Consider the following 17506-nt stretch of genomic DNA (forward strand, 5'->3'; position numbering starts at 1 on the left):
ACAGAGTTCTGTTTTTATAGCATTTAAGAGAGAGATTAAAGAGTCTTCTGGGTAATTTAACCACTATTTTATAGCATTTAGGAGAAAGATTGAAGAGTCTTCTGGGTAATTTAACCACTATGGAAAGTCAGTCAGGATATGTCAGCCTGTTGAGTAGGCTTTCCTTTGGCTTGAATTCTCCATACAATTCTCTGTCCTGGTCAAACTGATGAGCCATCTGCTGAGCTTGCCCTTCACAGTGCTCCAGAGAGAAGGTGCTGTAGAACATGGATATCCCATGCCCTACAAACCAAACAATTCATAAAGAAAAAATGCATACCCAAAGATAGACATGACTTTTTATTTTTCTGACTTTTTTTTTCTTTCTGTAATCTAAGAGCAGTGTTGGAGTTAGATTTTAAGTTTTGACATTTAGATTTTAGAGATACATAGAATTCATAACTTAAAAAAGAAAAGCTGTCCAAAAATGTAACTTCTATGGATAGAAATCTTCAAATGAACCTGTTTCAGGGGCTGTGGGCTTGTGGTTTACAAGTTGGTTTTGACTGTTTTCACTGTGGGTCCTCCGATCTTGCCCCTGGCTATTCTTTTTCTCTTCACAGGCATTTCTCAAAGGAAAGAGGAATACATCTGTGACCAGATTATGATATATCCATCTCATACATAAAGAGACTTGATCTTGCTCCCAAGGTCATGCTATCATGCCCTTATCCAACTGATCTACCACACACACACACAAACACACACACACAGACACACACAAACACACACACACGAGAGAGAGAGAGAGAGAGACTCATTGTCTTTTCCTTGTCCTTTTATGAATGTACATGGAGAAAATTACAGCCTTTATATAGGAACAAAATGCTTTTCTCCCATTCTGTTTTATCTCATTGTTCTTTCCTTGACTCCACCCCCTCCCTCTCAAACATGATCTGCTTGCCATCCCCATTCAGGCTGGCCTTTTTTAGTGCCTACCCACAATTTGCTGAGTAGGTAATCTGGATAAGGAAATATCTGCAAGGCCACTTGGCAAGACATGAGATTTTCCATTCTTTGTGAAAATGAATGAAAAGGCAATTATTGCCTCACACTGTTCTGAGTATTCCACAAAGAACCTCTTCTCTACTTCCTGAACAGAATCCTTGGCTACTGCCTTTTATCTTCAGCCACTCCCTGACTTCTTGGCCTGATGTTATCTGACCAGCACTGAGGCAAGCATGTCTTTGGGTCTTGGGAAGTGGCTGTGTTTCTCTGTTGGGAGCAACCATTGTACAAGCAGGAAAACATTTGTCAAATGCTCAATATATGCCAGGAACTGAAGGATATAGAAGTAGATGAGATGGTCTCTGCTCTTTGCAAAGAGTTCCCTATGTAGTAAGTGGGACTATCATGTAAATAAATATTGCAATTTCAGGCTGGGTGTGGTGGCTCATGCCTGTAATCCCAGCACTTTGGGAGAATGAGGCAGGTGGATCACTTGAGTTCAGGAGTTCGAGACCAGCCTACCCAACATGATGAAACCTCATCTCCACTAAAAAAATTAAAACAAACAAACAAACAAACAAAAACAGTGGGTATGGTGGTGGGCACCTGTAATCCCAGCTACTCAGGAGGCTGAGGCAGGAGAATCACTTGAACCCCGGAGGTGGAGGTTGCAGTGAGCCAAGATCGCCCTGCTGTATTCCAGCCTGGGCAACATGACAAGACACTGTATCAAAAACAAAAACAAAAACAAAACAAATATTGCAATTTCAATTTTGTGAGACTCTCAAATCAAAAGAAGCTTACACTAAGTTTAGGATAGAGAAAAAGAGTCTGTAACTAGCTTTGGGGGTGGTGGGTAGGGAAGAATTTCTGGAAGAGTTGAGCTCTTTGAGCTAGATCTTGAAAGATGAGCTGGGCTTGGTGGCTCACACCTGTAATCCCTGCACTTTGGGAGGCCAAGGTGGCTGGATCACGAGGTCAGGAGATTGAGACCATCCTGGCTAACACGATGAAACCCCGTCTCTACTAAAAATACAAAAAATTAGCTGAGTGTGGTGGTGGGTGCATGTTAAGCCCAGCTACTGGGGAGGCTGAGGCAGGAGAATCGCTTGAACCCAGGAGGCAGAGGTTGCAGTGAGCCGAGATTGCACACCTGCACTCCAGCCTGGGCAACAGAGCAAGAGTCCGTCTCAAAAACACAAACAAAAAACAAAAAAAAGAAAAAGAAAAAAAGAAAGATGAGTAGGCGTTTGTCAGATGGATACAGGGAAAATGGAGGTGGGATGGTGGGGGAGGGAAAGGAAGGAAATGAGATTTGTAACAAAGGCAAATGTCAGTTCATATGGGTCTTTGGGGAACATGATCAGATTTGCAGTTAGAAACATCACTTTGACTTAGCCTAGATGATGAATTCAAATGCCAGCGCTGGGACCAATTAGGTATCTATTTAAATAAGGGCTTGATAAGCTACTGCCAGGGCCAAATCTGGCCCACAAATATCTGTTTTTGTAAATAAAGTTTTATTGGAACACAGCAACACACATTTGTTTATGTGTTTTCTGTGGCTGCTTTTATACTACCGGGAAAGAGTTGAGTACAGTTGGTTCCAAGACCCACACGAATACCAAAATCTGCAGATGCTCAAGTCTCTTGTATAAAATGGCATAGTATTTGCATATAATGGGTGCACATCCTTCTGTATACTTTAAATTCATCTCTAGATTGCTTATAATATCTAACAGAATGTAAATACTATGTAAATAGTTTTTATGCTGTCATGCATTACTTAACAATATGAATATGTTCTGAGACAAGCTATTTTATTCTTGTGTGAACATCACAAATTGTATTCACAAAAACCTAGATGGCATAGCTTTCTACACACCTAGGCTGTGTGGTATAGCCTATTGCTCATAGGCTACGAACCTGTACGTACTGCATGTGACTGTACTGAATAGCAATTTAACACAATAAATATTGTGTACCTAAATATATCTAAACATAGAAAAGGTACAGTAAAGGTATAGTACAAAAAGTAAAAAAATGTTGTAGTACACTTAACTACAAATGGAGCTTGCAGGACTGGAAGTTTCTCTGGGTGAGTCAGTGAGTGAATGGAGAGAATCTGAAGGCCTATGATATCACTGTACACTACTGTAGACTTTATAAATGCTGTACATCTAGGCTATGCTAAATTTATAGAAAAAATTTTCTTTCTTCAATAATAAATTAACCTTAGCTTACTATAACTTTTTAACTTTACACATTAAAAAAATTTTTTTTTAATTTTTTGACTCTTGTAATAACACTTAGCTTTGGATACGTATTGGATAGCTGTACAAAAATAATTTTTCCTTATATCCTTACTCTATAAAGTTTTTTCTATTTTTATGTATTTATTTTTACTTTTGAAATTTTTTTGCTCAGACCTAAAATACAAACACACACATTATTTTAGGCCAACACAGGGTCAGGATCATCATTACCACTGTCTTCTACCTTCATGTCTTGCCCCACCAGAAAGTCTTTAGGGGCAGTAACACACATGGAGCTGTCACCTCCTATGATAACAATGCCTTCTTCTGTAATACTTCCTGAAGCACCTTCCTGAGACTGTTTTTACAGTTAACTTAAAAAAAGTAAGTAGAAGGTATACACTCTAAAATAAAGATTAAAATTATAGTGAATACATAAACCAGTAAAATAGTTGTTTAATATCATTATGAAGTATTATGTACCATAAATGAGTGTATGTGCTATACTTTTATATGGCAGTGCAGGAGCTTTGTTTCAACTAGCATCACCACAAACACCTGAGGAATGTGTTGTGCCATGATGTTAACATGGCTATGATGTCACTAGGTGATAGGAAATTTTCAGCTCCATTATAATCTTATGGAACTACAATTATATATGCGATCCATTGTTGACCAAAACATTATGTGGCACATGACTGTACTGTATTTTTTTATTTGAATAATTTCTTCTTGTTTTTTTTTATTTTTTAGAATATTTTCTATCCCAGGTTTGTTGGATCCACAAATGCAGAACCTGCGGATATGGAGGGCTGACTGTAGTTGTAACACAGGCCTGCAAAGCCAAAAATGTTTACCATCTGACCTTTTGCAGTAAAAGTTTCCCAATTTAAATAGTGCATGAGTTGAAGTAATAGAATATAATGGCTTGAACTAACACTGGGGCAGGAACTACTGAGGAGGAAGAGAGAATAGAATTTCGTGAATGATTGGGTTGGAGGGAAGGGCAGAGATGTGGGAGACAAAAGGATCTTGCAGGTTTTCCCAGTTTCTGGATCTCCATTTAAAATAGTTTTAGCATTGTGTCTTGCACAAAGATGTGAAAGGAAACTGTCTTTGTCCTCAAGGAGCTTCACCTCCAGTAGAAGAGATAACATGTGTACATAAAAGTATTTAATACCAGTTTGAATACGAGGTCATGAAATTTCAGGGGTGAGAGAGGATGATGTTTTGTTGAAAGTTTAATGAAAGCTTACAGGAAGAGGAATCATTTGAGTTTTGAAGAATAGGGAGGACTTGAGCACAAAGGATTGATGGGAGGGTGCAGAAGCAAAGACAGAGATCTGGAGACCGGGTGGAGAGAAGACAGGAATGCCAACTTTCGGAGCTTAGACTACTTAATAGGCATTGTAAACCTGAGGGGTTTGAGCAGAAGCTGTACTTTGGTTACTCTGGCAATAAGATCAGAGTCAGTTGAATGAGGAAGAGTCCAAAAGAGAAAAGGAAACTAACATTTGTTTTTTTCAAAGCTTAGCTTTGCTGACTCAGCAAATATTCATCCTTCCTTCATGTTCCCATCACACCCTAGCACGCCTTGAATTAGGACACTTATTACTTGTCGATAGAACATGAGAGGCCAGAAACTGTGACACTCTTACAGAAAATATGGTGCAGTGATTAAGATTTGTCTGGGTTTAATAATCAGTTTGTTTAAATTTTTTTAAAAGTTTTTTTGCTTATTTATTTTTAATTGACAGAATTTTATATATTTATCCTATACAGCATGATGTTTTGCAAGATGTATATATTGTGGAATGGCTAAATTGAGATAATTAACATATGCATTACCTTACATACTTATCTGTTTTTGTGTGTGTGTGGTAAGAACACTTAAAACTATTAACTCTAATCACCACCATTGACCCCTTTTTGATCTTACCCTCTTGATGTCTTGGTTTCAAGATGCCTGGGCCTAATAATTATAACTCCTTCTACAATTAATGACAATTGTAACCATTTGTTGTGGTTATTAAATGATTTAATGTGTGAAAAGCACTTAGTGGCTGGCAAGTAGTGAAGGCCCATAAATGTTATTGATTATTATTTCTAGTGCCTAGCTAAGTGTTTGGGAACTAAAAAGATTTGTGTTGAATGAGTGAATTTAAGGGCCGCTAATGAGCCAGGCACTTGGAATTGGCTCTTTGGGGTTATCCTCATAACTCCCATGTGAGGAAGGTATTATTTCTAATTTTAGTGAATTTGCAGGGGCTCTGAGAGTAAATGACAGAGCAAGATAGAGACTTCCAAGCTCTGTTTAATGGGGAGCTGGGGGGAGAGGTAGAATGTAAAGAGATGAGGGTAATGAATGGAGTGAAGTCCTGGAGGAGATGGGAGAGGAACTGGAACAAAAACACAAGGGAAGGTCTTTGACTGCTGTCCTGCAACAACACAGACAACAGAGGGTAAATGTGAGGGGAGAGGAGGGAAACAAAAGCATTAGCTGAGCCGGAGGTAAGCAGGGTTAGGAAAACTGTTAAAGGAGAATTCAAAGAAGACTCCAAGTTCTTGAGCTTAGATGACTTAGAGGAATGATGATGCCATTTATAGAAACAAAGTGGGCAGATTTGCTTTTTGGGGTGTGAATTTGCAGATTTAGTTTTAAATATAAAGATTCTGATACTTCCCAAACCTTGAGCAATGAGTAGGAAATGTGGCCCTGGAGCTTGGGCTAGAGATGGGCACTGGAGATAAACATGTGGAAGTCATCTGCCTAGAGATGAAGATTGAAGTCAAAGGCGTGGCATTTAGGAAGCAATACAGGATTAGTCGGTCCCACAGTCTGGTTCTCAACTCAGCCTGAGAAAGGACTGGCCAAAGGGAAACTGCAGTCCACGCCTGATCCATACTCGCTGGCTGATTTGTGACACTGGACTTCTTCATTGCTCAGTAAACATTTGGCAAGTGACTGGTGAGCAAAGAGTCAAATCTCAGGATCTTTTTGTGTGAATAAAAGTCAGTGGATGGAGACAGATAAATATCTCTAAAACAGGAAAAAAGGAGATGGAGTGAAAGTGGGCCTTAAAGTGTCAGCTCCTTCTTAGTTTGTGGTGCTGGCTACAGAGCCAAACCTCCTTTAGGCACAGAGCTGTGGAAATTAATTGAATCTGCTTAAAACTAGTCCCCCCTGCCCTGCCCCAGATAATTCAATGCAAGCGAACATATTTGCCCAGAGAGGGTCATAAACACATCATAAAATCTGACCTTTCCAAGAGGGGATTATCTATAAATAACTGCGGTTATCCCGAGGGTGCTAGGCATAAGCTTGGTGGAGGGGCGGAGAGGAGACCTATTTCCTCTGCAACCTGGGCATCTCTCCGGAGGTGAGCAGCAGAAAGGACTTGCAGAGGCTCAAGTATAAGCCCTTGCAGTCATATCCCCAATTTCCACTGGCAGGGCTGCAGCTGCTTCCACGGGGCTTCCTTCACTTTGCTGAGCAATGGAATGTGGCTACCGGGAAAAGAATAAGATTTCTGTTTCTAAATATGTCACTGATGAAGCTCCTTTTTAAAATATTAATTGTGGCAACGTTGGAAACGCATAAAAGAACTGACAATCATGCTTGTTCAGACCACAGAAGGTTTAATTTCAAAATGTGGTTTTGAATTGCTATTTTTTTTCTTCTGCCTGTAAGCAATGGATTCATCAAAATCCTTTCTTCTGAATAAAAGAAGATCCCCTAATGGTACTCATTCTGTGTCATTAATGTGGAGGAGGTGAGCTATACGAGAGGAGTCTATATTATTTATGATGAGCTGAATCATGAGCCAAATGAATTTCAATAAGGTCTTCTAGCTGATAGTGATGATATAAAAGATACAGAGAGGAGGCAATGAAAACCCATTGGAGTGGCTGCTAACAGATCCATTCTCTTGGCTTGCCATGATAAGTAAGAATCTACCTTATTTTTAAAGGCTCCAGATTCAGAGATCACTACATGATTACTCAGTAACTATGCTGACAAAACCTTTTCTTGTTTACTGAATAGATAACTCATTTTCTCTTTGTAATTCATGTTAAGTAATCCTAAATATATCAAGAATTGGAACTATGGGATCCTGTGGCTGGGTGTTTTGTAAGCCTGATGTGATTGAAGGTAGGGGTAATATCTCACACAATTTTTAAAAAAATTTTACTGCAATGCTCACAGAGCCTGAAAAATAGTGTCTCTAAAGATATAAAGGAAATCGTATAGAGCTTGCATCTCAACAGGGGAATAACACATTGAACCAGGTGAAAAAATGAATTTTGGGAGCAGCGTGAAAATACCTTAGATGCCAAAATGGTTTGTGATCCTCCAAAGCTGAAACCTCTGTTACAAAATATAGCATTTATTTCATAGGGGTGAATAGGAAATAAATGTTCAGAAAGGGTTTGTGGGTAAGGGAGACTTTCATTATTATGACAAAATATTTGGGAAACACTGTTGGCTATGGAGAAAAAAGTCCTGGTTTTTGGAGTCAGAAGGACTTTATTAGGAGTCTCAGCCCACTAACCACCAGTGTAGCTTATCTCTCTGTTTCAAACATCTTCCATCTGAAACCGTGATCATAATACACAGAGGCGAGCAACTTTATTCACTTCACTGTCTTCTACTCTGCACCTAATACAGTGACTAGCATAGAGTAAGCTCTTAATGAGGATTTAGTGAATGAATGCATAGAGGAATGAATGATTCTCCCTCAAAGGGTTGTTTGTTGATTAATTGAGGTGATGACTGCAAAACTTCTATCTTAGTACTTGGCACATTTGAGGTGTTCAGTAAATGACGGCTGTCTTTCTCCACCCCTGCTTCCCCCACTGTCTAGGACACACAGACTTCACGGGCCAAGACAGGGCAAATGACTCTCCTGGTGTCGTATAGCAAGTCTATAACCCTCTTAAAAATTGAAGCAGGTTCTCTCAGCTCCAACTGAGCCTTATTTGATTGATTATTATTACAAATATTTTCCTAGAATATTCACCGAGTTATCTATATTCTTGGAAAGAAAGTTCTTACATCACTGAAGTATAATCAAGTCATATCTAAATTGATTTTGATTGGGTACCGTCTGGATGTGCTAAGTACAAATTCACATGCCTGGAGCGATGAGGCAAGTTCTCTGCCCTGACAATAAAAGGGTCTTGAAAGGGCTTTTGGGAAGCATTCTGAGGGGCAAACTGACATACAGCACCTTCTCCAGCGTAACATGCAGATAATTCAGATAGGAGGGCTGGCAGGCACAACATAATGCCCTGGAAAAGCCAGATATCCATATGGCAAGGGGCTGGGTAAATGAAGATGCATCATCAGTACTTCATTAAGGGTCTTGCCAGAGTTGCATTTATAAACCCACATTGTACACCTACATGTTCATCCAAGTATCAGAAAATCACATTTGAGAGGGTGGAATTGTCTTTAAGAATTTTTAAGCTGTCAAATTCAGTAATAATTCATGTAAAATGAAAATGTTCCTTTCTCCTGTTTGAAGATCCTTTCTTCTCGTTGCATTTTTGTATTTAGTAGTGCCTTATGCTTCTACATTTTTTAAATAAATTCAACTTTGAGGGCAGAGACTATATGTTGGGCCCTTTGCATAATCAGTTTCCTTACTTCGCATATAGTAGTTCCTCAAAAATGCATGTTGAACAAATGAGAGTATTTTATAGCTAAAGGGAAAAGAAAGCAACCCTAACCTCTATGGATCATCTTTTATGTTCTAGGCACTGCATGGTGCATGTTACAGCTATTATTTCATTTAACATTTATAATCAACTTGTAACTAATTTGCCCAATGTCACAAAATTATTAAGTGGCTGAAACTGGAATCAATTAAGGTTATTTCTGATTCCAAAGACTATGCTCATTAAGAAAAAAAAAATTGTTTCAGCAGCCATGACAATGCACCCCAAAGACCTCCTACTGTAAGTAGTATAATTGACCAAAAAGCCCCAGCAGCATTGGCCAAAGACGCAGCTGCTGTGCTCCCCACTTTTAACACAGCTGTCTCCACTCTTCACAGAGGCCATGCCTCCCACAGGCAGCTTCCAGCCAGGAACTGAGGGCAGCAGGAATAATGAGCAGTTCGCCTTTGGCTTAGGGGCAAATCTTCCCTAGGCCTCATGACAGTCTAGGATGGTTCCACTCAACTTTCCACACAGTCTGGCTCTTTCACTGGGGTCAGATTGCATCATGATCCAATGACTCTTCCAGCCTCCTCCAACTTCCTCTCTATTTTCTCTTGTAGGCATTTCCCCTAATAAAATGCTTGCACATTTAATCCACTCTTGGGAGCTGCTTTATAGCAAACCCAATGAACACAGTTCTAAATACTTTTCCCATTCCAAGCTGCGATTCATAGCTTAAGTGAGTTTTCATCAGACATTTCCTCAAAACACTCCTGGTGTTAGAAAAGAATAAATATGTACTCTCCACCCATGATGGTCTGGGGCCTGCCACAACTAAGAGATTTGTTGGAAGTTCATGCTTTGTCCCACAATTACTTGTCCAATGTCTGTCTTCACTGTAAAATAATAAGCTCCGTAGAATCAGAGTGTGACTATCTTGTTCAGTGTTATATGCCCATTGCCTATAATAATTGCTGGTGCATAGTAAGTACTCAATAAAAAAAAAAATGAATGGGAAAAAATCTAAGAATTATTTTTCTATTCCATAATATAGTCATACTTGTCTTTTTTTTTTTTTTAAAGAAAACCTTTTATCCTCAGCAGAATTTAAATGACATTTTAAATGCAATATTAAACCTTTAATCTTTAGCATATTAGTACATTCCCTGGGGGCAAAAATATCCTTGTTTGGAAGTTACAAGTTCACTAATTTGCCCCATTGTTAATGTTAGGAAAAAAACCCAGACTTTTCACTTTCTAGTTCAGGGTGTTTTCCTTCTCATGCACAATATTCTTTTGCATTTACCTCTTACTATTATAATCTACTTTGAAACTTTTTCTCCCACTCTTCCATTTTAGGCATTCCTAATATAATTAACTTTACCTACATTGTTATTTTTCTGTTTATACATTATGTTCCCTCCTAGCTTTATTTGAGCTATGACTACTTCTCCAATTCATTGTTATAGGATTGTAGTCTAACCTCAGGATTTAGTTCTTACCTTTTAGTTTGGAATCATCTGGAAATTTAGGGAGGGAAGATTGCATCTAATTCCTGACATCACTTAGCATTTTCTCTCCCTTGGCCCTGAATCAGTGAGCCCCTGATCAGAAACGTTGATCTTTCATTTTGTTTCTTTCTCTGCTGAGGATGGAGTTTTGTTCTTACTAAATTTTAGAGAAAAGCCTCTTTGTGGTGCAAGTGGTCATGATAAATAGTGTTGTTCAGTTACTCTCTCTCCTCTGTGCAGACCCTAACACATAGAGATGCTTAAAATTTTCTCTCACTCTCATAATTGAGTGGGCTCTTAAAGAGGCAACTCCATTTTTCTAGCTCTGGCTAAAACCCTTGGAGACATACTTGAATCTCTTCTTCTCATAGCCCTCATCTTCTCTATCAATAATTCCTGTAGGTTCTACCTTCAAAACATACCTAGAAGCTGGCCAATTCTCACTGCCTTCACTGCTGCCTTTCTGAATCAAAATTCATCTCCAGCCTGAATTATTTCAGTAGCCTCCTGATTGGGCCCCTCACTTCCACCCTTGCTCCTTGGTAGTCTATTCTCAGTACCTTCAGTATGGAAAGCAGATGGAGTCACTCTACTCCAAGCTTCTGCTGGCTTCCTAAATAATCCAGAGTGAAAGTCTGAGTCCTTAGAGTAAACTCCAAGGTCCTACTCAACTCTCAGCATAAGCCTCAAGATCTTGTTTCACACTGCCTTAGCCATGCTGGCTTCCTTGCTGTTTCTCAAGAATAAGAGCCATGTCCCAACCTCAGGGATTTTGCACATAATGTTTTCTGCCTTGAAGGCTCTTTTCCTTGATATCTGCATGAATTGTTCCTTTACTTCCTTTGGGATTCTGCTCAGATGTCATTATTTCAGAGGAGGCTTCTTTGGCCACCATATTTAAAATTACAACCCCTCTCACCCCTGCCTGACACTCTTTTTTTTTTTTTTTTTTTTTTTTTGAGACAGGGTCTTGCTTTGTCACTCAGGTTGGAGTGCAGTGGTCTGATCACAGCTCACTGTAGCCTTGAACGCATGAGTTCCAATGATCTTGCTGCCTTAGCCTCTCAAGTAGCTGGGACTACAGGTGTACCACCATGCCTGACTGATTTTTAAATTATTTTTGTAGAGATGGGGGTCTCACTGTGTTGCCCAGACTGGTCTCATACTCCTGACCTCAAGCACCTGCCTCAGCCTCCAAAATTTGCTGGGATTCTAGGCGTGAGCCACCATGCTCAACCTCTGTGTGACACTCTTGATCCCTTCTCTTCATTTTTAAAAAGCTTCATAAACATAATATTTATAATCATCTGAAAAACCATTTATTTGACCTATTTAGTTATTTTTTTAAATTAGTCCCCTCCTGGTAAGATAAAAGCCCCCTAAGAGCAGGAATTTTTTATTTTTTCACTGCAGAATCCTTGGTGTTTAGAAAAGCTCCTGGAATGTAGTAGACACTGAATAAAAATTTGTGGAATGAAAGAATGAATGTTCTGCTGCCTTATGCATCCTTTAAGTCCCACCTGGAATATGAGGCTGTCAAGGCTTCTCAGCAGTTATAGCCAGCTACATATCCCTTCCTTTTAAATGGAGCACTTTGGATTTACATATTTTATATTATTGATTTATGGCATACATTTTCATAGAGTTCCTTGATATCTTTCTTCCTAAACTATAAGCAACTCAAGGGAAGTATGGTAACTTATTAGTCTCTATATCCCCTAACATTTAGAACAATGCCTGGTACACAACAGTGATTCAATAAATGCTTATTGGTTAAATAAATTAATGGATGAATATCCCAAGAAAAACGAAGCTGTCAACAAATACGTTTGCTTCTTCAGAGTGGTAGCTGGTACACAGCTATCATCATTGTTCATGATAAGAGTGATGATGATAACAGAGTTACCCCAAGACTGAAATGGAGCATCTTCAAAATATTTTTGAAAAAAGGATAATGAGAATTTAGGTTTTTGGCTTCTATCTCTTTATGACAAAGGGTTAGAAGACTGAAAAGCAGGTTTTGGTACCACTGACTAAGACAGTTTCCTGGTAAATTGGTGAGCATGTGCTGTGAGGCAAAACCAGGATCTTGATCAAATAGTCAAGATAAATCAGTAATTATCAAGGTCAGTCAAACATAAAGGCATTAACCATGTTCCTAAGATCACTTAGGTCTGAAAAGGAAGACACTTGGATTATATATGTTCTATGATCTGAGTGGCTGTGTTTTTCCTGAAATTCGTATATTGAAACCTAAACCCCTAAAATGGTGGTATTAGAAGGTAGGGCCTTTGGGGGTGATTAGATCATAAAGCAGAGCCTTCAAGATTAAGGTTAATGTTCTTATAGGGCAGACCCCAGAGAGCTACTTCATCTCTTTCATCATGTGAAGACAAAAGGAGAAGTTGCAGTCTATGAGGATATGGGCCTTCACCAGACACCAAACTTGCCATCACCTTGATCTGGGGCTTCCCAGTCTCCAGAACTGTGATAAATGAATTTCTGTTGTTTATAAGCCACCCAACTTATGGTATTTTTTATAGCACCCAAATGGATTAAGACAGTATAATTAGATTATTCTACCAAGGTTTGCCTTCATTTATTAAATTATTTGATTTTTAAAGAGAGGCATTTCTCTAAAGAAATGAGGCATTGGAGATTTTTTTCTGGTATCTTTCTATTGATAAAGCAAATCTATAGACTGAGAAAACATACACAGTAACATATATATTTTATGAGTATTCAAAGTTACCACTGCATAATAAAGGCCAGGGAAATGAAGTGTTGAATGTTCTGATACTACTAATAACCTTAGATAATTCGGCAGAGTCACTGCTGTCTATGTGGCAAAGGAAATGTCACATGTCTATCTGCCAAAGTTTGGCATAAGGCTGGTACAGTATTTCAGCATAAGTGAGCAGAAGAGTGTAAAAAATACCATTTTGATTTTTCTGATTCAATGGGAGCACATATTTATTTGGTTTTTACAAACCTGGTCGTTGCTAAGTCTCCTGCCTTCCCCCCACCCACCTAAGAGAAACTAAAATCTATTCCTTTGCAAGGGACAGTTCCTCAGGTGGGGTGAGGAAATGTTAGAAACCAAGCAGGAAAGGAATTCTGTATTTTAAAGGTGTCCTACTTTTCTATTTTTTTCTTTATTAAAAATTCAGCTTCTTTCAAGCACAGAAAGTGAAAACATGCCACCTCACTGATGTAAGTAATGAAGTGGTCCTTAAAACAAAAGGATACATTGTGATCTGAAAATATTCCACCAAGTTATGAAAGCAAATGATTCTTTGGGAAAGAAATCAGCTAGAAATTTGAGAAAACTTTTCAGGGTGCAGTGGAGGCATGAAATCTGTGTTTTTGAATGGTAAAATTTGTGATATGTATGTGTGTTTCTATATCTATATCTACATCTATACCATATATGGATCTTTGCTTCTTACATTTAAAAAAGCAAAAAGAACAAAACACCACCACCAAAAAAAAAAAAAAAAAAAAAAAAATGCTGCCCCAGATGGTGTGCCCATCCATGTGGATAAGTGTCACTGAGAAGACTGAAACACACTCTGCGCTCTGCGTCCTCCCTGCTGGACACCGAGCCCTCAAGTGACTCTCTGCTGTCCCTGGTTGTGCCTCCTGCTTGTGTCGCTGCCTGTTCTCCTCACAGTCTGCAAGCTTCATTTGCTCCAAAGACGCTGTTCCTTTTCTGCTTGCTGCAAACCGGGTTGGACGGCATGGCTGTTGCTTCTCAGCAGTTGTGCTGCACCTCCGGGTAGCTGCCCACCCTGGCCACAGTTACTCTGCCCCTTCTGTTGACCATTTGGCCACTGACACGGAGGCTGAAGTTCGTTTCTGATTAATAAGGGGTATGGCATGTTGGGATACTAATGAAGTGGCTCAGTAAGTTGCATGAGAATTTGACATATATCCAGGTGTCACTGTCACAAGCTACCTTAGGGGTTGGCTTCTCCAGGGACATTAAAAAAATATATTTTTTTAAGTCCTCATTCCTGATCTCTCAGCCTCCATACCTCTTTCCCACCATTCCTATGTTTCTGCCAATAATTGCTAATTTTTATAAAAACCCAGCCCAAAGAATACGATACTCTGCTAAAAACAAACAAAACAAAAAACTACCAATTACTGACTGAACATGAGCTAACTAACTCCTTAAGTCTGGCATTCAAGGCTCTGTGCTTATTTGAGTCATACAACTGGTTCTAGCAGCTTTCTTTCTGTGTCAATGAATGATTACAGTAGCAATACTATTGTGTGGTTTTATTGGACCTTATTAATTTTAAAGAGCATTCATTTTGATTATTATAACAAGCTTATTATTCCCGTCCCTCACATGAGGAAACCAAGCTGTAAGATATGCTAGCACACATTTGGGAGCCTTGAGCAGGCCTCAGAACCCTCTTCATGAACACTTAGGAATTCTAAAGAGCATCATTTTGATATCCATTTGTAAAATGTACGGACTTTGAATAGTAACTCAGGGACCTGAATTATATTACACTAGCCCAAGATTCTCTATTCTTTTCCCATTGTTGCTAAGTAGATAGACTATTCTAAACTGACCATTTGAGCTTGTCTTACTCCCTTGGCAATGCAGACAGACTCCAGGTGTTCTCTAAGCTTTTTAGACATGTTAAGAATGTCATATCTATTATATATTTAGACATGTCATATCTATGTCATGACATAAGCATGACATGAGAATGACATGCCATTCTGTCGTAACATAAGAATGATGTAAGAATGTCATATCTATGTCTATTTAGACATATTAAGAATGTCTTATCTATTGAGCATTGAGGCACTCAGAGGCTGAGGCATGGAGCTAATGTTTGGGCATTTGTAGCTAAAAGTAATTGTTTCAAAATAATTCCAACCAGGATGCACCATTATTATTTTATTATTACCTTGCCACAGCCATGATTGCTTACTACAGTCATAGGAGAGAGGGATCTGCTTTGATACAGATGCCAGTGTCACCTTTTCTTGAGAAGAATGCATAGCAGTGATGCTGCCTGTAATCCTAGCTACTTGGGAGGCTGAGGTGGGAGGATCCTTTGAGCTCAGGACTTCGAGGCTGCAGTGAGCTATGATCACACCACTGCCCTCCAGCCTAAGTGACACAACAAGACCCTGTCTCTTCAAACAAAACAAAACAAAAAATTCTAGAGTGTATTGTTGAGTACATAATAAGATAATAAGTTGTCAGTAATTATTTGTGGGATGCTAAAACAAATAGAAGCATGGAAACATATACCTTTAATGGTGATGAGCATGCATCACTGCTGTCTGGAAAGCCTTTACGATCTGCACTTTATCATCTCAGGTACAATGCTCTCAGATTTTGAGGTTTCATACATCTCTTGGTCCCACGCTGAGGTATAAGTTCAGGCATGCTCATTCTGTTAGTTTCCCTGGATTGCTGAGTGTCATGTGAACACAAAAGAATGAAATAATGTTGGGGAACAGCTGAAATGCTGCCTCTATGACTTCCAAATTTCTATCCCAGCCACGTGGCAAAGGGAATCATCTTACCAGCAATAAAGAGGGGCTGCTTTCATTGAACATCTCCTACATGGCAGTTAGAGGGTAAGCTCCTTACTTGCTTGAACTCTGATTTTCCCCTAAACCTAATTGGGTAGAAATAATTATCCACCATTATAGATAAAATATCAAAGCCCAGAGAGGTTAAGTAAATTGTTCAAGTTTGCTAAGCTAGTAAGTGGCAGCACAAAGATTCTATTCAGCAATGCCTGATGACAGTGCCTGTGAGTCCGCTAACATGCCATTCAGTTTTGTAGTGTGGGTATGGAGAGACGAAGGAGATAAATTGAGTGTCATGTGCTGTACAGAGTTTCTTTATGTTTGTTTGTTTGTTTGTTTGTTTTGAGAGGGAGTCTCACTCTGCTGCCCGGGCTGGAGTGTAGTGGCACAATCTCGGCTCACTGCAACCTCCGGCTCTCAGGTTCAAGTGATTCTCTTGCCTCAGCCTCCTGAGTAGCTGGTGTTACAGGCATCCAGCACCATGCCCGGATAACTTTTGTATTTTTAGTAGAGATGGGGTTTCACCATGTTGGGCAGGCTGGTCTCGAACTCCTGAACTCAGGTGATCCGCCCACCTCAGGCTCCCAAAATGCTGAGATTACAGGCATGAGCCACCGCGCCTGGCCTCAGAGTTGTTTTTAACTTTTCTCAACAGCTCTAAAAGATGGGTGTTACTGTTCCCATTTATAGATGAACAAACTGAGACTTAGAAATTGTGAATAAATCGTATCCAACTTTCTACACCTAAGATTTTACTTGGTGATAATTCCTAAATAGCTATAGATTACTTCAGCCATGGTATACTACATGAGTTTTCATGACTTGGTTTGTGAACATATGGATGTTCATTTTTTTAAATCCCAGACAAGAAGAATTTGGAGAGGGTGCATAGGAGAAATTATGAAATAGGGGAAAGTATGAAGTTAGAGAGTGGTGGACAAGGCCCCTTCTAAAATATTATTTTGGGACTCAAAATTTAAATGTTCATTACTTAATGTAATCAAGGAGTCCTTTATGTTTTTGAAAATTTACCTTTAATACACACCGGGTCTTTGGTATGAGAGGGAAAAACAAAACAGGACAATAAGTGCCTGCTTCATTGGAAATAGATTTCCAGCATTTAGGTTTGAATATGGAGCACCTTGGTACCTGAAAGACTGTTTTCCATAGAATAGATTCTGCTCGAACCACTTCCTGAAAATGGTATCTTCTCATCTCAAAGGCTGATGGCACTGCTGTTGCCCAGCTGTTTACAGATGTTTTCACCCTGTAGGAACTTCACCCTGAGTCATTAAGTTAATAGTTTGGCTGTCGCCTTGTGATTTATCCATGAAATTGCTCCTCTGAGTGCAGAGTATATATAAAAGGATGTTCAGCTTATAACTCATACTGTTGCATAGCAGCAGTAATCATGGATAAGACAAGCCCTTTAAAAATCAAAGCTGTTAGTAAAATAATAATGTTTTCTTTACTGTAGTACATACCATGTTGCAGTCTCATGGATAGTGTGGCATCAACTAT

The 17506-nt window shown here is 39.2% G+C and overlaps 1 long non-coding RNA gene across 1 annotated transcript in view; it reads left to right on the forward strand.

Annotated features, from left to right (window-relative positions):
* LOC105369890 (uncharacterized) overlaps nucleotides 1–17506 on the forward strand; it is a 192148-nt gene that overhangs the window by 50851 nt on the left and 123791 nt on the right. The window lies entirely within an intron of this gene.

Source organism: Homo sapiens, chromosome 12 (genome assembly GCF_000001405.40).
Source record: "Homo sapiens chromosome 12, GRCh38.p14 Primary Assembly".
Lineage (NCBI taxonomy): Eukaryota > Metazoa > Chordata > Mammalia > Primates > Hominidae > Homo > Homo sapiens.